At 37.1% G+C, this 25,272-nt stretch overlaps 1 protein-coding gene across 4 annotated transcripts in view; it reads right to left on the bottom strand.

The window, feature by feature from the left end:
• Positions 1 to 627: 627 nt before the first annotated feature.
• FAM91A1 (family with sequence similarity 91 member A1) overlaps positions 628 to 25,272 on the bottom strand; it is a 47,014-nt gene continuing 22,369 nt past the window's right edge. For 3 of the 4 annotated variants that reach the window (XM_047421405.1, NM_001317917.2, NM_144963.4), the window contains 9 exons: positions 17,842 to 17,990; positions 16,426 to 16,560; positions 16,195 to 16,308; positions 10,741 to 10,813; positions 9,851 to 10,000; positions 7,704 to 7,808; positions 7,064 to 7,187; positions 5,729 to 5,798; positions 628 to 3,561 (listed from right to left, as the gene is read on the bottom strand). In XM_047421405.1, the coding sequence (XP_047277361.1) occupies positions 3,376 to 3,561; positions 5,729 to 5,798; positions 7,064 to 7,187; positions 7,704 to 7,808; positions 9,851 to 10,000; positions 10,741 to 10,813; positions 16,195 to 16,308; positions 16,426 to 16,560; positions 17,842 to 17,990 (1,106 nt within the window). In that variant the 3' untranslated portion in view covers positions 628 to 3,375. Of the gene's footprint in view, positions 3,562 to 5,418; positions 5,799 to 7,063; positions 7,188 to 7,703; positions 7,809 to 9,850; positions 10,001 to 10,740; positions 10,814 to 16,194; positions 16,309 to 16,425; positions 16,561 to 17,841; positions 17,991 to 25,272 lie in introns of those variants that run through there. The other variant, NM_001317918.1, reaches the window with a different exon arrangement.

Raw genomic sequence — 25,272 nt, 5'->3', positions numbered from 1 at the left:
CTAGCAAACACCATCTTACCCAATAAAGAAACATCACCAGTGATACATACTGACATCATGTACCCTAAGATATGTTGTACTGGGGGGAAGGGCACATCACCTTTGTAGTACCCTTTCTGATAAAACGTAGCCTCAGTCTAATCACGAGGAAACATCAGACAAACCCACACTGAAGGATGTCTTACAAAATAACTGACCGGTACTCTTTCTAGTGTCAAGGTCATGAAAGACCGAGAAAATGTTATATTGGAGGAGACTAATGAGACACTGATAACTAAATACATGCGATGTGGTATCCTGGACTGGATCTTGACAACAAAAAGACATTAGTGGGAAAACTGGTAAAAGCCTAATCAAGTGTGCAGTTTAGAAAATACTAGTACCAGGGTTAACTTCTGAGTTTTCATAGACCTGCCATAGTTTACAGAAGGTGTCCACGCTAGGGGAAGCTCAGTGAAGGGTACAGGGAACATCTGACTATCTTTGCCAGTTTCTGTAAATCTGAAATTACTACAAAATAATTAAGTTTTTTGTGGGTTTTTTTTTTTTTTAAGTACAGGAAAGCCACAGCACCAAACCATGGTTGTATTTAAAATTAAGACAGGAACTTTCAGAAAATTAAACACATTTTCATAGTAACTTGATCAATACCACAGTTTATTTGTAAACATGTTATATGTGTCAATAATCAAATTGACAACACTTTATAGATTTCATTGTATAATATTAACATCCTAACAGAAAACGATCCACTGTACTCAGTTACAGTTTGGTATTTTAAAATCCTTAAATACAAATTGTATTTGAAACACTGAACACAAAAAAGAAACATGAATGGCAGAGAAAACTGAAAACAACAAGTAAAAGAAACCAATATTCCGCTCCCCTGAAAAAAAAACATAAAATCATCTGATTACATAATTTAAAAAAGAAACAAAGGAAATCAGATGACATTTTTTGATATAAAGTTGCATTTCTTCAAATCCATTTTAGAGGTGAAATTGTATCAATATTAAATTCTATGTCTTTTTTGATATTTGTTCTTTCTTTCCTCTTGGTTTCTAAAGAATGTTTGCCAGGGTTTAAATTACATTAAGGAAGCGGGAAAAAGAAAGGAAGGAACATGGTAAAAAGCCAAATGAAATTAACTATTTGCAAAATAATTGGACGTAAATTTTTCATGAATCTTCTTTGGCAAATAACAAAGTCTGCATTTTAAATTTACCTTTTTGTTGAAATGGATCAATGCTTGTAAGATTTAAGAGATTACATGAGTTAATGTATAAGTAAAACAAAGCCAAATTCACAAAGCAAGGCGCAAACATCAGCTTTTCACATTTTGCTAAAAGCTCTAAAAATGCACTCTCCCTCCTTAAGAGGACCAGAGGTCTTCAGCTCGGAATCAGATGATTACCCTTGCCTCATTCAACACAAGAAACCAGAGGGGACCCCATGGTTCTTCGGTACTTTCCCTAAAATTCATGATCACTATTAGGTTCTATTTCTTCCTCCTTTCTCTCTCAAAGGAAATATAGCAGCAAATCATTCCCATATTTTAAGCTTTAAATTCACCAACAACTGGGTTCACTGCCAACAACTACAAATGTTCAATTCTGTATTAGTGTACATGTCATTACAGTTGGTTTAGATGGTTAATATAGGAATAAATAAAATAACTACAGTTCAAACAAAGGAAATTAAAATGAGATTAAAGAGCCCCGATCAAAAAAAAAAAATACTTACAACTTTCAGCTGAAAAACTGTAAAAGTTACATACATACATACCTAATGGCACTAGGAATGTACAATATCAATTATTGGAAAAATAAGTGAGTGACTCAGAGTCGTAAGAAATTATTTAATATTAGTATTTTTTCTTTTATAGACAAACATAACATACACATGGTTTCTACCTTCTATAAGACAAAGTAGAAAACTAACCGTTACTGCATTTACCTCAAACACAGCACTGACTGTGCCACAGATAACATGGTCCAAAATATTCAATTCTATAGATAGGCCATGGTATTGAATGCATGGTTAAGTTTTAGGAAAGGCATATATTTCCTGAAGTATGTATGTTAAATACACAAATATCTATAAATAACAAAAAGTTACCAGCAAAAACGTTTAGGTTATAACATTCCCAAACTTCCTAACATTTTAAGTGTTTTAGATATATGTTGTCTGACCAGTTCGTTTGGTTACAGTTTTAAACTAGCAAACCATTACCCTGTAAGAGGAGCTAAACTAAACTATAACACTGCACAAACTTCCCAAGGAAGGTAACTTGAAAAGTCTAAAAAGTGATTCCAATTATTCTAATTAACATTTGAGATGCTAAAAGAATCAATGACTCAAGAAACACTTTGAAGTAATTCCATTTTTCTTTATCATTTTCTAAAAAAGTATTCACATAAATTTAAGATCCAGATTGCTTAAGAGTATGTCTTCAAAGTAGGTTTATCACTAAAGCATTCTGATCCAAAGACATAGTCTTAATGCTTCTAATATGTAATTCTAACCTAAAATCACAATCCTTGGTTTGAAAACATCAAAGCTAAGAAACAAAAAAATAAATCAGGGTGAAAGTGTGCAGCAGCTATAGCTACAAGAGTGGAAAATAAATTCTATTTTTTCCATAAAGACTCTATGAAAATATAAAGCCCAAAGTCAGTGACAACAGAAGTCCACATATAAATGGTGTTTAAAAATAGAAAGTCTTCTAAAGCTTCTCATGAGATGTCAATGAATAGTCATAATCTTAAGACCTTATAAATCAAGGTTAAGTTATACACAACTATGCTGATTTACATACCTTCTACAATGTCCAACTGACATACATAATTTACAGACACCCATAGGAATTCATAATGCCCTATCATATCATCTCTCAATACTGGATGTTTATTGTTTTATAGTTTTACTACTTTAAGTACCAAGAAGCCTTTTCAGAGGAAGAGTTCCATCTCTTCCCTTGATCCCCCAAAGTATAGGTAACAAAATATAAAATTAAACAAGATTTATGTTTGATAAACTAACATATAAAATTACCATTGCAATTTTCATAGTGACTGCTTATAAACATAACAGTCATCATAAAGCCTATAAAGTATATACTTAGTTTTATAAAAGAAATGCAGATTGTCTCAAGGTAAAAAATACAGTGCTGGCTGCTAAAAAGCACTTTGTCGCAATAAGATGTGCAATAATGAGCAAAACTTCAGAAAACATGAATATGTTCCCCAACTTTTAATATTAGTTAAGCAAGAATTGCACTGCAGCAGCAGGATGCTTTTTAGTGGCTGACACTATAAAGCTAACGTTAAGAAAGAAAAAAGGCAGAAAGTGTGAGCAACAAATGGTGTAACCAAATTATTGCAAATGGAGATTAGCAATAAGAAGTGAGGAAGGTGACCGTCCACTCCATTCTGATAAGACACCATCTTTAAATATTAAGTTTTTTGCAGGAAGTGGAACACCCATGTCAGCACACGATGACTGTGAAAGCAAACTTGAAAAACTGGGCTCTGTGTGAATATCCAATATTGAAGCACCTTCCTAAAAGATCAAGAAACAAGAGAAATGATATTCAACACTTTACCAAAACCACTTAATATAACTAATGAGAAAGAGAGACCTTGATTACCTGAGAAGTGTTTATGGATTGCAAAGCAGTACAGGAGATGCAAAGATCTACACTGTGAGCCCAAAGCAATCAATGACAGGTATTAATATGTGCAAAAATGACTAACAACGTTAAACTGTAGTAAGTCCTTTTAAATAGAAATAAGAGGCTACGAGACTGTGGGAAAAGCAAAAGTTCATTTTTACAAGACCTAACCTAACCCCAAAGTATTACCTAACAGAAGAAAAATCTCTAAAAAAAAAAAAAAACTTACAAAGGCCAGGTGCAGTGGCTTGTGCGCCTGTAATCCCAGCACTCTGGGAGGCTGAGGCGGGTGAATCACTTGAGATCAGGAGTTCAAAACGAGCCTGGCCAACATGGTGAAACCTCTTCCTACTAAAAATACAAAAAAATTAGCTGGGTGTGGTGGCACATGCCTGTGATACCAGTTACTCAAGAGGCTGAGGCAGGAGAATGGCTTGAACCCAGGAGGCAAAGGTTGCAGTGAGCCGAGATCGTGCCACTGCACTCCAGCCTGGGCAACACAGCCAGACTCCATCTCGGGGAAAAAACAAAACAAACAAACAAAAAAAACCTTACAAAACACTAAGCACCAGAATAATCCACCTACTCCACGCTTCTCAGATTCATATATTCCGCACAGACCTCCCCCCAGGACTCCATGCTCAAACATCCACCTATCTGACACTTCATTTCAGATGCTTCCCCATGCACTCTATACTCAGTATGCCCATCATTGAACTCTCAAATTTTCCCTCCCCTCTTCCTCCCCAGTCTTCTCTATTTCACACATCCAGCTAATCAAAAAACATAAGAATCATTCATGATCCCTCCCCTCCCTTCCCTCCACAGCCCTAATCTTTTCCTCACATTTAATTCATCATCAAGTTTTATCAACCTATCTCCAAAATATATCCCAAATTAGTTTAATTTATTAATTCACTATGGCCAAGGCCTTCACTGCCACAACAGACAGGCCAGTATTGACAGAATTTTGAAATTTTTCCATTTATTGCATCCTTATAAAATTTCCATTTTTGCCTATTTTTATAAAATAGTCCTTCAGAAATAACCTCTCTCCCCTGTTTAAAAGTCTTTAATCATTTCTCTTTGCACTCAACGTAAAATACTAGTTCTCTAACATATGCCAGAAGGCCCTGCACACCGTGCTCCGGCCCTCTTCTTCAACCTTACCTCTTGCTTCTACCCCTCTTTCATGAAGTTTCTGCCACACTGGGCTTCATTTGTTTCTTTGTTCACTGGACATTTCCCAGACACAGGAAGTACAGACCTAAGCTCTGCCGGAATATTCTTTTCCAACTTTTTGGCTTCAGCTTATATTATCCTGCACCTATTGAAATTAGGTCTACCTGCAGATTTCATCATAGTTGGCTTCTTCAAAGTACTTTTTAAAATCTTTTAGAACTTATATATCTTAATATTTATCTGATTATTGTCTCCCACAACATTCTCTAAGTTCCATTAGTATCTTACACATCACTGTTTCCACAGCACTCAGCAAAGAATCTGGCATAGGTCAGGGTCAAGCATTTACCAACTGAATGAATGAAGTAAAACTCCAAAATATTGATTTCATAACGTTGAATTAGATATTCTGAACAGAAATATTCTATTTTAAAAGTTTACCTATAAATCAAGTCTAGAATATTCTTTCTTTCCTTGGGGATGGGGGAAAAACAAGAAGTCCAGAGCACTGGCCTTCGCTGCCACAACAGACAGCCCATCCCAGCAGTGGAGAATCGCTTTAGTTATTGGGAAGTGCGCTATAACCAAAAACTAACACCTAGCATGGCACACAGCCCATAAAAGACACTTAACACATTTCTGTTGAATAAAGCACTGGCACAGAACAAAGAGATCAAGCTTTGGTCTCCGAAGACCTGGCGAGTGAAATGTGCAAGTCCATTAACTTCTTGAATCTCAATGTCTTCATTTGTACAATAAAATTAATGTTTATTTCATATCTTGCTGCTGTGGTGACTCAAAAACAAACACAGAAGTGTTGTGCATACTTAAAGCTCAGTACAAGTACCATTTGGACTTTTTGGTTTTTGTTACCTGGAATGAGTGAACAAAGTTAAGGACTTGCAGAGAGAGTTTTCTACTGGAATGTAAGAGGTTTTGAAGGCTGAAAAAAAAAAAGGCGAGAAACAGTTTAAAACAAACATAAAGGCAAGAATGAGTTTCTCATAAGAGTTTAATTTTAGCAATTTAAATGCATCTATATATCCTGGCCAATCACAAAACATCTTAAAAAACAATTTCAGTGTTTCTCATCAATGAAATTTTTGCTTGTTTTAATAATAGGGAGTAGTCATGCATTAAAAGTCCATTTTGAAATAAAATACATCGTGTAACTAAAATCAAAGTTATTGTTTTAAAAAAATTCAACTACTATAAACATAAATGTTAAATGAAAGAAAACTTTTCAAATGAAGATTTAGGCACTCTGAGGAATGACAACTATGACACAACCTTTAAACAACCAAAGTAATTGCAAAAGACAACCTGATAACAGATTAAACACACACCAACCTACCTAAATATTTTTCAAATATGTAAGTCAGTAAAAATTATAGTGGTAATCTTTAAAGTTCTATAGTATTTCTATTTTTTACTCATGTATATTACTTTGTTTTTAGAGAATAGATGTTGAAATTGTCAACTGAGTACTCTTCATTTTCTGATAAAAGCTACATTACACCATTTAAATGAATTATTGTCCAACTTCATTTTCTAAAATAAGAAGATCTTGACTTGTGGATTTCACCTCTCCAAGCCACCTATCATGACAATTAGATTCAATTATACTCTTTCCTGCTAACCCAGTTTGTCTCAGAACCTTTACAACATTGCCTCTTAGCAGCTACTCACAATGGATCAGAGCTGGTATATAAGATAAAACCTACATGTCATCTTTAAGGAGTAATACATATCCATTTTAGAAAATGTAGAAAGTGAAGAAAATTTTGCAAAGTCATCATAATTCCACCACAAAAACCAATCACTATTAACAGAATATAACATGAGTGTGTGTATGTTAGGAGTGAGAGAAATGCAGAGAAATTTTCTGTAGACATACATTTTTTAAAATCTAGGTTCATACTCCATATCAGCATGCCCATTTCACCACACCCTCACCTCACCTAGATTACTAAATAAATATAATCAAAACATGTGCCCAAAATGTTTGCCTGTGACTAATTTCTGATCTAGTGAAATTTAATTTTGAAAAATACAGCAAAACCCTTAAACTAGCGATCTCTATTCAATCAACAAATATATACAGAACAATTACTGTGCTCATGTGTGGAATAAAAGTAAGATATGGTAACTATTTGCTGACAGCTTAAAAATTGATATGAAAATATGACAGCGAATATAAACCCTCACCTCTCTTTTCTGCAAAGGCCATGTGCAGCAATTTTCCTACAAACTTTCCGGTTTAATTCGGAACTGAACAGTGGAATTCCAAAGCACAGCTCGAGAGGAACCCAATCTGCTTCTGTTGTGGCACCTAAGAAAGGATACATAAACTTATTTTTTTATCATATATATCTACTTATGTATATATTATATATAACTGACAAGGGTTTCTTAACCTGAAGTTCATAGATTCCTCCTGCCCCACTGATATCCACCAGTGGGCTTGGCAGGGGAGGAAGAAATTGAAGGGGGTCAGTTAATCTCTAAACAGGATAGGCATTTTTAGGGTATAAACATGTGTCTGAGAAGGTACATAGCTTTCATCCAATGTTCAAAGTAGTCATTTGCCCAAAAAAGAGTATTGCAAGATATCTGTAAGATGAGAGAATGAATCAAAACATTTACCACAGGAATAAGATTATTTTCAAGTCATAATTTTATAATACTTGAATTATTTTTCTAAGTATGTAAAAAGGCTTCCTAGAAAACTCTTATTTAAAAGTCGTATGAATAATAAGAATAGACAAATGGCATGCAAATGCCTTAACATAAAAGTTAAACCTCAGAAATTAGTCTAATAAAATTGGAAAAAGTTTTAGCACCATACCAGAGGTTTGCTTTGTTGCTGAATCTATAGTTGCTTCCTCAATGACCATTTCAAATGACTCTGTACTCCCATTTACATCTGAGCCAGAAGCCAAATCAGGTTCTCCTTATAATTAAAGGGCATACACAATATTAGGATTCTAGCAGTTAGCAGAAGCTGCCAATAAATCAGTCCTAACATGGAAAAGACTTCAGACAATAGTAATGATGACAGAAAGAAAATGCATAATCCTTGGCTTAAATAAGTGGTTTTAAACAGGGGAGCAATTTTGATCCCCAAGGGACACGAATGAAGACAGGGATGCTATTCGTATCTATGAATGCTAAACATCTGACCATACACAGGACAATCCTCCACAGAAAAGAATTAGCCAGCTCAAACTGCACATAGTGCTGAGATTGAGAAACCCTGACCTAAAGAAACAAAATTCAAAAAGGAGGACCCAAGTTACTGAAGCCAATTGCACCCCTGTGGAAATATATAGTCTGATTATGTTATTACTCTTCAAAGTTCTTTTCTGACTCATTATCTTTCAGCACAGAAGATCCTCCAAGATCCCTTAGACCTTATCTACTTCTCTACTCTCATCTTCTACTACTGTCCAACAAATCCTTTCTTTTGGCCACAATGAACTACTGTTTTCTAATTCCCCTCTGCCTGAAAGGCTGCCACCCTCCAAAAACACATTATCTTTTGTCTACCTAACTCTTCAATTTTCAAAACTCAAACTTCACCTTCTCTAAGAGGCCTTCTCTGTGCTGTGTTAGCGCTTTATGCAGACCCCATCATAGTCAATAACACCACACTGTATACTGACTCACTCGTCTCCTCTCTAGGGTTTTCATCCTTGGAACAACATTGTCTTTTTTGTTTCTTTTTTTTTTTTTTTTTTTTTTGTAGAGACAGGGTCTTGCTCTATTGCCCGGACTGGTCTCAAACTGCTAGCCTCAAGCAATACTCCTGCTTTAGCCTCCCAGAGGACTGGAATTACAGGCATGAGCCTGTACCTGGCCATGCCTGGCCTGGTCTTATTAAATTGCTCCAGCACCTAAGCAGGTATTCCATAAATGTTTGTGGAATGAATGACATAAAAAAGGAGAGCTGTAGTAGATACGCTTTGAAATGACTGCTTAAGTCATAGCCCTCTTCTCTAGAAAATGCTCCTGCAATATTTGGCAGTCAACTATTTGGCCAAAGACAAATGAGATAGGAGTAAGTACCTATCTCAATGGGAGCCAACCCAATCTACTGGATGGCAAGTAATCAATCACATTTCCTCAGAATTTCAAACTAAGAGGCTCATGGAATACTGTCAATCAATGGGAGATAATGAAAGATCTCCCAGAGTCAATGGATAAGAACTGGCACCACGGCAACCCAAACCACATATATGCCAATATTATGCCAGAGCAGAAACAACTAGTAAGCATGAGAAGGTGATTTGAAAATGGATTTTCAAATTAAAAAAAAAAAAAGTAAGTGATATCTAAGGAAAATTAGCTATTGTCAATATGTAGGACAGACTGGAGATAGAAAGGAGAGGCCAGAAAGGCTAAGCAGGGAATGGTTGCAACAGCACATGTTTAAGGTTTAAAGTTCAAGACCCAGACAAGAAGAGCAGTCACAGAGAATTTAAAATGAAGAGAAAGGGGAAGAAATGGACATGAGAGACTTATCTAAAGCCTAATTCACAGAACTTGGAAACTAACTGAACATAGTGGAAAAAGGAAAGAATGAGACAAAGGTAAGATTTTAGACCTAGATAATTAAGACAATGGTACCTTTTGACAGAAAAAGTTGAAAGGGAAAAACTATTAAGTCAATTTTGGAAACACTTGTATAAAGAGACTTGAGTTTTGAAACCATCACCCTATAAAGCTAACCTAATAAAGCCTAATAAACACAGATATGACAGTAGAGCACCCAAAAGTCCCAAACCATTCTGTACCCCAATCCTATTTTCTTCATTTGAACAACTGACATTTGTCCAAATGATGTTCCAAAATATTTCCTCGTGCTTCAGTGAAAGAATATTGAGTATTCAATAATTCAGCATCCCCACAAAGGTCTGCTGCTTTTCATATATTAACACTGTGTCAAACTCAAAACCAATTATCTTAATCCAAAGAATCCAACTATTGGCTAACCTCTCTCATCAGAAGCATCACTGAGTTTTCTATCTGCAAGTTGGCTGGAAGCATTCAACATGGTGACATATCCACAGAGATGCTGTAAGTCCACTCTGTTCCTTAGTATCTGCAATGCTTTATGAACACCCATATTGACACGAGTGAACTCTACAAACAGAACGGACATCACATTAATGAACAGTTTCTAATAACACAACGCCAACAGCTTAAACATACTTTATTAAACAACTCTTAGAACTACTTTTATACTTTAATACATCATAATTGATTCCAAAAAAGAAATATATAAAGTTGTCATTCTTACTGAAACTAAAGCTAACAATGTACTTGAAATCACATGCCTAAATTATTTATATCTTAACTCAAGTTCTCATAAATATGTGAACTTATAAAAGAGAAAAATGCTCTATATTCAAATATAAAGAAACCTCTTTTTTATAATTCACACAATAATCCCCCAAGGCAAAGGATCTACTAAGCAGTTTTTGAGATTTTGTAAATTTTAAGATCCTGTTGTCACTATCTGCATCTCCAGGTAAACAATTATTTTTTTCCTTAGACTTTATGAAGTATTAGACAGTTGTGTGAATGATAAAAAAGGAGAAACAGAGAAAAGTCTTCCATCTAGGCAGATATCTACTTATTCTCTTTATTCCAAGACAGACTAGTAGTCTTTCAAAAATCCTAAACGGGTCTTATTCTAACAGTTCTTTGTGGATGGCAAAGCACATGACAAAAAACTACCTTTTGCCAACACTCTTTAGTAGCAAAGAACCTAGAACTTAAAAATTTCAAGAATTCATTTCCTGCCATGTTTTCCACCAAACTGTTGACATGAGTAATAATTAAAAAAAAAAAAAAGTCAATAGATACAATTCAAAAGGTACCTCCTTGTAGTTCTGTTTCATCAAATGGAAATGGGACATGGACAGTTTCTCCTATCCCATGCAGACCATGCCCCTAAACATAAACAAAAGTTAAAAGGTATACAAGAAACCTTCATTTCCAATCACTGATATTCAAAAGTAAATAAGATTGTGTCATGTAATGGTATATTCCATATTAATACCTCATCAAAATTCTTTCAACAATTTTCTATTTTTCTTCAGCAAGCAGTGACAATCTTATGTGTATAATAATCTATAAGGCAATGTTTCTCAAATTGAATGTATAGGCCAATGCAAAAAAAGGAGGCCAATTTAACAGGCAAATCAGGTGTTAGCCAAGTGAAGAGTGAATGAGGAGGCCAAGTTTATTCACACAAAGGTTAGCTAGAGTTCTGAGAGGGAAAAGTGGTGGAAGAATCCCCATAATCACATAGCATACCACAGGCTAAGAATGCAAAACTCAAAAACCTGCCCTGAAATAAAATATATTCAGAATTACTTGCTACGATAAATAATTACATATAATTGGAAACAACCAAAATGTCCACCAACAGGGGACTGGTTAACTAAATTAGGAGACATATCTTCAATGGAGGTTCATAAATGAAAGAAAGCTATGACCTGCAATGGAAAGATCTCCAATTGCTAAATGGAAAAGGTAAGGGGCACATCTGTGTGCAGGTACTTGCATATGCATAAAGACACTCTGGAAGGATATAGGAGAAATGAACAGATGAAATTATCTGATTTGGAGGAGAGATGGGGAGTGGAAACTTGATAGGGTTAGCAGGGGAGTGATACTTTTCGACCTATACCTCTTTTTTTTTTTTTTTTTTTTTTTTTTTTTTTAAAACAGAGTCTTGCTCTGTTACTCAGACTGGAGTGCAATGACACAATTTTGGCTCACTGCAATCTCCACCTCCCAGGTTCAAGCAATTCTCCTGCCTCAGCCTCCTGAGTAGCTGAGATTACAGGCGCCCGCCACCACACCCGGCTAACTATTTTTTTGTATTTTTAGTAGAGACTGGATTTCTCCATGTTGGCCAGGCTCATCTTGAACTCCTGACCTCAGGTGATCCACCTGCCTCAGCCTCCCAAAGTACTGGGATTACAGGTGTGAGCCACCGCGCCCAGGCTCTACACCTTTTAATAACGTTTTATTTTTGAATCATGTGAATGTACTATTAGTTCAAAAATTAAATTTAAAAAATCTGAGTCTACCCACTTCACTCTCATGTTACAAATGATAATTCAGTTTCATCTATCACATTCAATTAATATTGTTCATTTGAGTTTTGTTTTAAAGCTTTGCTTATATTTAATTCCAAAATTTGATTTGAATTTGTAGTTGTGTAATAACAAGAAGCATGAAGAACTTAACATTATGTCTACATGTATTTAGAACTGTTACAATAGAAATTTAATACTGAGGATCTCCAAATTCTTCCCTTTAAGAGAGACCCATACATTATTCAAATTCAAGAAACCCTGATATATCCAAAGGAAAGCATACTCTTTTTGTTGTTTCATATAACTATTTAAATATATTTCTGAGAGCTCTCTTTTATTTCCTAAACCTGATGGCTAAAATAAATTATGGTTTTAACCAAAAATCTTAATTTGTAACACGTTTAAATTCCAATAAGGTAAATTTATTTCCATCAAATTTAATTAAAAAGGCATTTTTCTTTAGCAAAAGCAAAACTCCTTAACAAACACTTTAAAAACAGTACTGTCAGCCTGGTGTGGTGGCTCACACCTGTAATCCCAGCACTTTTGGAGGTCAAGGCGGGCAGATCACTTGAGCCCAGGAGTTTGAGACCAGCCTGGGCAACATGGTGAAACCCTGTCTCTATAAAAAATTAGCCAGGCATGGTGGCGTGAGCTTGTAGTCCCAGCTACTCTGGAGGCTAAGGCAGGAGGATCTCTTGTGCCCAGGGGAAGTCGAGGCTGCAGTGAGCTGTGATCATGCCACGGACTTCAGCCTGGGTGACAGAGTGAGACCGTGTCTCAAAACAATAAATAAATAAAAACAGGTACTGTCTGCTGATTTGTTTTTCTATCCATATTTTGCACTAGCCCCCATCCAAAAAAAAAAAAAACCTAACTTAGCTTGATCTACAGAGTACCACCTACAGAAAAGACCTTGGAAACCACCTCTCTCATTTTACTTTATTCAAGAAAGATTTGTTACTATAAATTAAGACAGGGTTTCACTATGTTATCCAAGTTGGTCTCCAACTTCTGGGCTCAAGCAATTCACCTCAGCCTTCCAAAGTGCTGGAATTACAGGCGTGAGCCACTGCACCCAGCCACCCTTCATTTTAAAGGTAAGGAAAACTGAAGCTCGTGGAATCACCCACTGTTCCTTCACTCTACTTCTACTGCCACTACCAACACAATAACGTTTTCTGAGATCTTCCTATGTGCTAAACACAGTGCTCAAGTCATTCTTTTCAAAAACTTTAAAAAGATGGGAACTTTATCTCCAGTTTATAGGTAAAGACACTAAAGTTCAAAAAGGTATTTAACTTGTCTAAGATTACTAGTAAATGATGGAACCAAGATCTGAGTTTAGGCAGTCTGACTTAAGTCCATGTCTAGCCCATTCTATGATGCTATCTCCCACGACCACCCCATACTATATATCTTCCCTGGCTAATTTCATCCTCTCATGGTTTCAACTACCATCTACCACCTGATGCTGACACTTAATCACTCTTGTCTAACCTCTCATTTGAATTTCAGAATATTTCCAATTACCACAGGCACCATATAAACACAACACATCATCTGCCCCATAAATGTGCTCTTCCTCCCGTGTTCCCCAGAGTAGTGGTATCACCACCTCCCATGATATCACTTCCTCCCGTGTTCCCTAGAGTAGTGATATCACCACCTCCTGTGATGTCACTTCCTCCTATGTTCCCTACAGTAGTGGTATCACCACCCTTCTACCTTCACAAGTCAAATACCCCAGAATCTTTCTTCCCTCTTCCCATCTCTCTCAGATATCTGATCAATTCTATTAATTGTATATTTGTAGTAGTTCTTAAATCCATTTTTCCTTTCAATTCTTATTACCATGTCCTTGATCCGGGCTATCTTTATCTCTTATCTAAACTACTACACACAGTCCTAACTGGTCTTCTTGCTTCAGGTGTCTCCCCACTCCCTCCCATTCTCAATATCATCCCAAGGTTGATTCCTGAAACAAATTTGACCATGTTAATCCCTGTTACCCCCCTGTAATTGCTACCATCAATCTACAGGTCAACTTCTCAGTTCCACGGCAGGACACTCAAGGCAGGCGGCACTGCAGGGCCAGCCTACTTCTCCAGACTTGTCTCTGACCACAACCCCCTCACACTCCAACTCACCCCTCAAAAACACTGAACAGCTTATTGACCCTGGCATGTTATGTCACTTCATATTCTTATTTATTTATTCCACAAACACTAACTGGACAACTACTATGACCCAAGCACCGTGCTGGGCACTAGAAAAATAGCAGCAAAGAAAAAAGAAAAAAAAAAAAATCCTTGCCCAGAGATTTAATCATGCTGACCCCTACTACCTCGCTTCTTTTAAGTCATCCTTTTGTATTCAGCCTGGGTCTCACTTTCTCTAAGGAACCTCCCCTAAGCCCTTCTCCTTGCCCCAAGGCTGGACTGGATAGTTCTTTTTAAGTCTTCCACTATATGTAATTCTATTCGATAAACTGAAACTGAGTGCTTATGCAGCTTTTCCCACCATCCTTAAATTCCTTGAAGATGAGGGGCCCTGTCTTATTTGCATATTGATATTAATTAGCGCAAAATATGCACATTCAATTGTTAGATGAACTGACGAAATCTTTACGGAGAACCTATTATGTGCCAGCAAGTGTGCTACACATTTGACACGTACATTTTCATTTCATTCTCTCAATTCTATGAGCATAAACTGCTTACCTTACCACTAGTTGCCATTATTATAAGTGTTTGTTATTATACAATAGATATTGCCATCTCCATTTTATAGGTGGGAAATAAAGTATAAGGTTTATCATGAAAATGTCACACAGCCCAATAAGCACATGCAAAGAAGCTCAACATTATTAGTCTTCGGGAAAATGTAAATCAAAACTATAATGAGATACCATTCCACACCTCCTAAGGTGGTTATCATCAAAAAGCCACATAATATCAAGTGCCCGTGAGAATGTAAAATGATGCAGCCACTTTGCAAGACAGTCTGGCAGTTCCTTAAATGCTTAAACATGGAATTACCATATGACCCAGTAATTCCATCCCTATACATATATAGCCAAGAGAAATAAAAACATATGTCCACAGAAAAACTTGTACACAAATGTTTATGACAGCATTCTTCATAATGGCCAAAAGGTGAAAACAACCCACATGTCCATCAACTGATGGAGGAATAAACAAAATGTGGCATATCCATAAAATGGAACATTATTTGGCCTCAAAAAGGAATGAAGTATTGATACTATGACAACATGATGAACCTTGAAAACATTATGTTAAATGAAGGAAGCCAGTCACAAAAGACCACATATTATATATGATTCCATTCACATAAATGCCCAGATTCGGCAAATCTATAGAGACAACAAGTAGATTAGTGTTGCTTAAGACTAGAGGGAAGGAGATGAGTAGCGGGGAGAAAATAGAAGAGTGATCACTAAAGGATACAAGGTTTCTTTTTAAGGTAATGAAATGTTCTAAAATTGAGTGTGGTGATGGCTGTACATATCTGTGAACACACTAAAACCCACTTAACTGCACAATTTAAATTGGTGAATTGTACAGTATGTGAATTATATACTCAATACAATAGTCCCCTTTTATGTGAGGTTTTGCTTTCCATGGTTTTAGTTATCATCTGTGGTCAACCAAGGTCTGAAAATAGGTGAGTATAGTATAACGAGGTATTTTGAGAGAGACCACATTCATATAACTTATATTACAGTATGCTATTTTCTTATTAGTAATTGTTGTTAATCTCTAGTAAGAGATGTCTAATTTATAAATGAAACTTTATCCCAGGTATTTATATATATATATATACATATAGGAAAACACGTACTATATATAGGGTTGGGTACTACTGGTGGTTTCAGGCAACCCCTGGGGGTCTTGGAACATATTCCCCACAGATGGGGAAACTACTGTAAAGCTATTATTTAAAAAAAAATAAAAAAAATCATGGTCACGCAGCAAGCAGGTGAGGCTGCAATGCAAACCTGGGTCTAACTTCAAAGTTCATGTTATTTCTACCACTCCCACACTGCCAAACGGCCAGGACTAAAATCCATATCTCTGATTTTTTACATTTCAACTTCATAAATTTCAAATGACTGACATTTTATTGCAACTCAATATAGAAAGCTAGAAAAATTATCAACTTTATAATAAAAAGACAAAATTTCAAATAAGATAAATGTACCTGAATTAAAACTGCAGAATGTGTTAAAGCATCATTCAACATCGTGAGCACATTTGAGGTAGGAACTACTCCAGGATCATGACCCCAAGATGTTATTAGCAATCGATCATAACTCTATTGAAAAGAAATTAACAGGTAAAATGGCATTCAGAAATAAGGAAAATATTAAGAAATTATCTAGCATACTGCTCACACACACATAAAAAAACCACCCAAACCTCCCACACATACCTGAAATATATCTGGCAGTTTTCGAAGTCTTGTACCTTTGGACAATAAAAGGGATGGTGGTCCTTGTCCAGTGACATGATAAATGTACAGTTTAAACCAGACAGAGCTGACTTCTGGGATAGCTGGTCCAATATGCTACAATCATAAAACAGTTAAGATAAAGTTAAAATAAAGTGTTACATAAGTGACCGAGAACAGTCTTATAAACAGCAAATCCCTTCACATAAATGTTAACTGCAACTATCCTCAAGAAAATAACTTTAAATGTTTCATTAAAATAGTTTCAATTTTATACTGGAATTAAGAAATTATGTCTTGTCACTGCAATTAAGAGAATGCACTCTGGAGAAGACTGCCTAGTTTGGAATCTTGGTTTTGCCCTTCCAGCCATATCACCTCAGGAAGGTTACTTAAGCTCTCTGTGCCTCATTTTGCTCAATCTATAAAATAGCAATAAAGAATCTACCTCAAGAGGATGTTGTAAGGTTGTTCAAAAAGCTTAAAACAGTACTTGGAATATAATAAGCTCGATATTAAAGTATTAGCTATTATTATCATTAATCACATACAATTTTCACAAGAGGAATCGCCCACCCTTCCATCCATTTTACCATTTATGCAGTAGTTCATGGATTCCTACCATGTCTGGAGGTTGTGTTAAAGAATAGGAGAGGTTCGGTGGTGTGCACAGAGAATTATTTTAAAAAGGTTAGTTAGATGCAAATCTCTTGTTGAATACTAAGGACAAAATTGGTGTGAAGACAGGATGCTCACTGAGGCAGCTAGAACATAGGCAAATTACCTGCGTACAAGAATCCCTTCCTTTCTGCTACATCATTAAACCCTGCATTGTCTAGGAACCCAGGTAAGATGCAGCACTGAAGAACAGCAACATAATCCCCACTCTGAAAATGGCACAGGCCACAACTTCCTTGTTAAGTATACAAATGAATACAACTGATATATATATATTTTTTAAGTAAAAGTCCAGAAGGAATTTTCACATATAAATTATACAGTTAACCAGAGTTCTAGCTTTCAAGCACCATCTTTTCTTTTCGGCTTATTCAGAATCACAGCCCCACTTCGAAGACATTTAACTTTTCCTAATTAAATTTATCTTATCTCTCAAAATGATGCCAGCTTCCTTTCTGGAGCATCCTAAAACATTCTCTTTAAAATATTCTGTACATGAATAAATTTTAATCTAATGTGTCACAAGTCACTAGGTGATACTTATATAAAATATACCAATTACACTCCACAAATTGAACATATCATCTTACAAAGGCATAAAATACAAAATTGCTTTCTATGATTCAGTGATTTTAATAGTTGGTATCTGCAGATAGAGAAGAAAACAAAACTGATGGGACTCATGACACTACCAAGTGGATCTTCCAAGTAGGTCTTTACCTGAGGGGTGCAGCTGCTGACAGGCCGGATTTCATTGGTGAGGGGAGCCATGGAAACAAGCAGCGTGTAATTTTTGTTTAGAACTCTGCTGCAAGTTGCAGGGTCCAAACCAAGAAGGCTTTCACAGCGTAAGAGATCCAGAGGAAAACCTGAGTTATGATCAAGCACACACACAGAATAAAAGACTGAGAGTGTGAAACAAAAATGTTGAAGATGCAATATTGATAACTGACTTAAGATTTTAAATTTTCTTTTTAAGGTAAAGTAACTCTATTAAGAAGTACCAAATTTCCTAGGAGACCACCAAGACACTTTGAGATGCAAAGCTAAAATGTTTTATTCTCTGGTCTAGACAGATAATCATCTACTTCAGGTTACTTTTTACTGCAACAAGATGTACTTGTTTTACCGTACTTCCTCTCTCCATCCAGAGCCACTCTACAACAGTGGCATACCGTTGACCCTTGAACAGAGAAGTTACAGAGGCTGACGCCGTGCACAGTCAAAAATCTGTATATAACTTCAGACTTCCCAATGACTTAACTACTAATAGCCTACTGCTGACTCGAAGCCTTACCAATAATACGAACAGTTAATACATATTTTATATGTTATATGTACTATATGCTATATTCTTACAATAAAACTAGAAAAAAAATCATAAGGAAGAAAAAATATATTACTATTAAGTGGAAGTAGATCATCATAAAGGTCTTCTTCCTCATCTTCACAGTAAATAGGCTGAAGAGGAGGAGGAAGAGGAAGGACTGGGCTTGTTGTCTCCAAGGTGACAGAGGCAGAAGAGGTGGAAGGGGAGGCAGGAGAGGCAGGCATGATGGGTGTAACTTTACACACTGTAAACACACTGTAAGTTCCATCTAACTTTCTTGTTTCTTAATGTATCTAAAAATGTCTCTATACAGTACCAATCCTTCTTCCGCCATCTGCTTTAGCTGCAGTGTCTGTATCATAGAAGAGTGCACATAAGTCAAAAGCAGTCTTGAATAATCAGAATCCTGCCAGACGGTCTAATGTCAATTTATTTTCTGGCACTGCTTTTTCTATGTCTTCCTCATTGTCTGGCACTCATTTGGAAGCACCCATCTCCATCAAGGTGTCTATCTATTAGCTCTTGAATTTCTTCAAGGCCCATATCTTTTTTTATTTATTTATTTTTTTGAGACAGAGTCTCACTCTGTCGACAGGCTGGAGTGCAGTGGCGCCATCTCGGCTCCCTGCAACCTCTGCCTCCCAGGTTCAAGTGATTCTCCTGCCTCAGCCTCCCAAGCTGCTGGGACTACAGGTGCGCGCCACCACACCCAGGTAATTTTTGTATTTTTAGTAGAGACAGGTTTCACCATGTTGGCCAGGATGGTCTCGATCTCCTGACCTCGTTATCTGCCCACCTCGGCCTCCCAAAGCGTTGGGATTACAGGCATGAGTCATCGCGCCCAGCCAAGACCCGTATCTTAAAACACTTCAGGCCAGGCACAGTGCATCATGCCTGTAATCCCAGTACTCTGGGAGGCCGAGGTGGGCAGACCACGAGGTCAGGAGATCGAGACCATCCTGGTCAACATGGCGAAACCCCGTCTCTACTAAAATACAAAAAGTTAGCCAGGCATGGTAGCACGTACCCATAGTCCCAGCTACTCGGGAGGCTGAGGCAGGGGAATCGGTTGACCCGGGAGGCGGAGGTCACAGTGAGCCGAGATTGTGCCACTGCACTCCAGCCTGGCAACAGAGCAAGACTCCATCTCAAAAAAAAAAAAAAAAAGCCCTTCACTCCCTACCTTTTAGCCATATCCAAAATCTCTTTCATTATTTCCTAGATTAGCTCTGTTGTAAATCCTGTGAAGTCAGGTACAACATCTAGACAGTTTTCTCCAGCAGAAATTTATTATTTTAGGCTTGATGGCTTTCACAGCTTTTTCTAAAACAATGATGGTATCTTCAGTGGTGTAATTCTTCCAGACTTTCATGAGGTTCTATTAGAGTTCTCTTCCATAGAGCAGACAATCCTTTCTATAGACTACTGTGTGTAAAAAGCCTTAAAGGTCATTATAACCCCCTGATTTAGAGGCTGAATCAGAGACACGTGTTTGGGGGCAAGTAGATCACTTCAATGCCTTCAGTGTTGAACACATGCGGGTTCTGCGTGGGTTAACCAGGACCACTGTCCAGTACGAAAAGAACTTTAAAAGGCAGTCCCTTACTGGCAAGGTACTTCCTGACTTCAGGGAAAAAACATCAAAGGAACCAGTCCAGAAAAAGTGTTCTTGTTGCCCAGGCCCTTCTGCTGTATAGCCAAAAGACTGGCAGCTGGCATTTATCTTTTCCCTTCAAGGCTCAGCAGCTTTATAGATAAGCGCAGTCCTGACCAGAAACCTGACTACATTTGCACAAAACAGTAGTAAGCCTGCCCCTTCCTGCCTTAAATCCTGGTGCTCATTTCTCTTCCTTACTAATAAATGGCATTTTTTTCCAGAATAGGACACTTTCGCATGCATTAAAGACCTCTTCAGGCAGATATCCTTTCTCCTCAATGATTTTCTTAATGGTATCTGTATCACTCCGTTCTTGCATTGCTATAAAGAAATACCTCCGACTGCGTAATTTATGAAGAAAACAGGTTTAATTGGCTCATGGTTCTGCAGGCTGTACAGGAAGCAGAGTGGCCTCTGCTTCTGAGGAGGCCTTAGGAAGCTGACAATCATGGCAGAAGGTGAAAGGGAAGCAGGCACATCTTAACATGGCCGGAGCAGGAGGAAGAGAGAGATGGGGAAGATGCACACACTTTTACAGATCTCGTGAGAACTCACGATCATGATGACAGCTGTAAAGGGCAGGGGGGCGGGGGGTGGTGTGTTAAACCATGAGAAACTGCCCCCATGATCCAACAACCTCCCTCCAACATTGGAGATTACAATTAGACATGAGATTTGGGTGGGGACACACACACACAGATCAAAACATATTAGCATCTGGGAACTCATCTGCTGCCTCTCGGTCAACAGAAACTGCTTCTCCTGCTATCTTAACATTTTTTAAGCCAAACCTCTTAAAATGATTAAACCATCCTTTGCTAGCATTAAATTCTCCAGCTTAAGAGAATATTAATTATCTTTCATTTGCTTTGTCATAATGACTTTGCTTTTTCTCAAATCATATTAGAGTCTATAGGTATGCCTTTCTTATAGTAATCCTGCACCCACATAAAAGCTGCATTTTCAATATGAGAAAAAGAAAGTATTTTGCAAAAAGCGCAATGTTTTCATGCCTGTTGGCACAGATGTAAAAACAGCTTCATAAGTTTCCTTCTCTTATTTAACAATCGTCTTTTACACTGGATTTACCTATCTTGAAATGATGGGCAACTGCAGCTGCAGATCTCAATCTGCAGTACATACCACGCAATTCAACTTTTTCTTGTAATGTTACTTTTCTCCGCTTCTTGGGAGAATTTCCAGCATCACTAGTGGCTCTCTGTATGGCTCCCCTAGTGTTATTTGAGGTTTATGGTACTGCACTAAATCAATGAAAAATATGAGAGAACCATGAGTGATCACTTTTAACTGCAATAGGCAATTTAACGTAAAGACAAATTGCTCACTCAGAGATGATCAGCGTCACAGGGCATTTTAAGCAGGTACTCAAGTAGATACAACACTTGAGCTCACCACAATAGCAACAAGAGATACCTACAAAATTATTACAGTAGTACCATATGTACTACAGGTAATTCTATGCAGTTATAGCTTAATACTATATCTTTCCATTTATTTACATTTCTCTCAACTGCAATGTCACTGTGTGATCTGTAAATGTGTGCATTAAGTTTTGATATGTTTGAATGTTTTATAATGGATCTGTATATATTTTATGATAATAAATGATAAAATAGACTAGTATCTACATATATTTTATGCATACATGACCTATGTAACTTTTCCTTAACTTCTTTGACATTTCTAGGCTATGAGATTTGTCTGCAAGTTTTTTCAAGTTGTCACAAATTTCCAAAAAAATGTTCCAAAACGTTTACTCATAAAAATTATCCCATAAGTGGACCTGTGCAATTCATAGCCACGTTGTTCACTTGTCAACTGTATAACGAAAGCCAAAGTGTCAGGAGAAGCTATGTGCTTCTCTCCTCCAGTTTCCGATCTCTACAAAGAGAATCATAGCCAAGTCCTCATTTTAGTATAAGGGCAAGAGCTCCTCATTTGGAAATGTGTACCCTAGATTTCTGGTCCGTAGAGCATGAACTCACTCAACATACAACAGATTTTAAGCATTCTTATTCTTAATCCTTTTGAACAATACGAAATCCTATTGCTCTCTAAAAAGAGATATTTAACGTTAAAAGAAACTTCAGAAGAGCAAGGTAGCTATATCCTCCTTCAAGCAAGAATACATCTAAAAATATACATATATACATATAATGGCCTCCTGAAAATGCCTAGAAGCAATGAGCACAACTAACACCAGTATCTTGGTCTCTAATAGCAATCCCCAGTAAAAGACATTAGGCTCCTAGGACAAATGGCTGATTCCAGGACTGAGGCAGAATAAATACACAATAAGATGCTATTGCTTGGCCAGAAAGTAAAGAATTGCTTAGCGGAGAAACCTGGAGGCATGTCATAAGGAGAAAGGAGACAGGAGCAAGCTTAAAGGAAATCCTCATGGCAAAATCTGAGAAAACTGGGGCACGAAAATAATTGAGAGACAATAATGACTAATCGCAGACTACTGAAAAGATAAGAATTCATAAATTCATACAGAGAATACGAGAGAATGCCTGGTCACAACTGCTAAATATGGCAGAACTGCTCAAGTGGGGGAAAAATTACCAATTTCCAACCATCAAAGTACAGAATGGTTCAGGCAAGAACCACCAATGGATTCTAAATCTAGGAGGAAACACTGATGAGGAGTGGGATATCTGCATGGTCTCAAAGTATCTCCCCACCAATTGCTTATCAGTTGTGAGAGAAAAAAAATAGTTGACTATACAGTGGAAAAATCAGACAATGCATTAACTGGGTGATCAAAATTAACATCACCAATGAAGGGTAGATGGAAAGCATGGGGTGTGAGGAAGTAGGATGACAGGGTGAGGTATAGGATAGCAGATCACAGAATGTTTAACCATAACGTCAGCATATTTTCTGGGAGGGGTCCTAAAGGAAGGGCTACATCCTGGCTTAGGTTGAGGGTGAGTCAAAGTTCATGGGGCTGGAAGAAGGAGAGAAGCTTAAACAAGCTTTGGCTAACAAGCATTTTGTTCTGATTGATAATTCAGAACAGGCAGTTCAACTCACTGCTTATGAGGCAAAGAAAGGGAATTTGGTGGATCTGTTTCTGACCTTGTCATAGGTGAACAGAAGGGAGTGGGGAATTCACCTGTGAATCTTATCTAAGTCATACGGGGAAAAAGTGGGTCCTTGCACTAAGCCCCTTCCCAAAACACAAAAGAGTGAAGGGACGTCTTAACCCTCAGGCAAAATTCAACATTATCAATGTCAAGTATAGATAATATTTAATGTATACTACAACAGGGAAAGTAGGAAGTCTAAAGAGTTCATGGTGGTTAGAACACGTTTCTAATAGCTTGACAACTGTGATTGCTTTCCTACAAATGTGGTTTAATTCCTAAACATTTCCACAGTACTAGAATGCCAAATTATAAACAGTGGTTTTTATGTCTGACTTATACTAATCACAGTTAAACAATGTCCTTTTAAAGACAAAGATACCTGGGGGAAAAAAATCATGCTTAGAAAACGAGAAAAAAACAGACCACGCATGACTTTTATTTATAAACAGTACGCCGTGCTATTTAAAACCAAGGGATTAAGGACTCCTAGGACTAAGACACTAGTTCCATGTATAACAGAGTTTGCTTGTATAATATCACAATGCTTTTGCTTTATAGTAGATAACAAGTACTACATGATATACTCAAAGTATAAATTATTAGTGACATAAAAAGAAAATTCTTTTTCCTCAAACAAGACGCTTAAAACACCAATACTAGAGGATTTCTTTTTTTTCTTCTGAGACGGAGTCTCAGTCTGTCACCCAGGCTGGAGTGCAGTGGTGTCATTTCAGCTCACTGCAACCTCAGCCTCCCAGGTTCAAGCAATTCTCCTGCCTCAGCCTCCCGAGCAGCTAAGATTACAGGTGCCTGCCACCACACTTGGCTAATTTTTATATCTTTAGTAAACACGAGTTTTCACCATGTTGGCCATGCTGGTGTTGAACTCCTGACCTCAAGTGAACCGCCTGCCTCGAGCTCCCAAAGTGCTGGGAATACAGGCATGAGCCACCACACCCGGCAGAGAATTTCTTTTCTAAAAAAGAGTAAGGTTCAGTTACCAAGCCCAGTAACTGCAGAAAGCAACATTTCTCAACAGGCTGAGCATGAAGCCTTAATGCCCTAAGATATCCTCTACATAGAACGAATGACCTTTTTCATGCATTGAGAACGGTACTAATGTGCACCATCATTAGAAAAACTGAGAAATAGTCACGCCAATCATTTCCATGTTCTGCAATTCAGATGAGGAGCTAAGCTAAGAAATGCTGGTAGCAAAAATGAAATTTCATAAGTAATTGCAGGTTTGGTCTTAAGGGGAGGCATTCATCAAATTTAACTTTGGAGACCCAGCAATTATTCTAAGCAATTAAATCTCCAACTAGGGTCAGGAACAGTCTAACATTAAACCCACCTTAAAGGTTAGGATTGCACAGGACTATTTTCATAGAGAATAGGTTTAGATTTACCATTTAACTTACTTCATGGTACACTGACTATTCATGGGGAAAAAATTTAGCCCAGCCCAGACTACTAAGCAACAAATGTTTATGGGTAAATGAATACAAAGCTTAGCGTTCAAGAGAAGATAATATAGGGACAGGGCAATGGAAAAAAAAAAATCAACAGACACAGATTCAAGTCTTCCATTCCTGGCTCTTCCATTTACTAATAATATGGGCTTTGATGACTAAAAAACAAGCAGAAGATTTAGCTAATATAAACTCCAATTTCTTTATCTATAATAGGAGTTACACTTCACTGGTCACTAGTACTCTCTAATGTTCTCACATTCTGTGATAGGCAGGAAAGGACAATGTATTTCAAGACAGCTTTAACAGAGTATTTCAAATCATCTAATACATTATCTCCATAAATCACTAAAAAGTCCCAGAAATTCCAGGAGTTTTATATCCAAAGACATCCTCAAGACTGTGCCACTCACCACTGCTTTATCACATGATTTAGTATTTATTAACCAAAAATGGTTATCCATCAACAAATGCCTACCAGTAAGTGCTTAGGACTCTCGGCATTTGGCAATTTAATATTCTCAGTTTTAACTATTTATGAATGATCTCAAAAGCCCCAGTATGTAACAATCTGTA

This window comes from Homo sapiens, chromosome 8, assembly GCF_000001405.40.
Source record: "Homo sapiens chromosome 8, GRCh38.p14 Primary Assembly".
In the NCBI taxonomy this organism is placed as follows: domain Eukaryota; kingdom Metazoa; phylum Chordata; class Mammalia; order Primates; family Hominidae; genus Homo; species Homo sapiens.
Note: the sequence above shows the minus strand (reverse complement) of the source record. Positions and strands in the feature narration are given on the sequence as shown.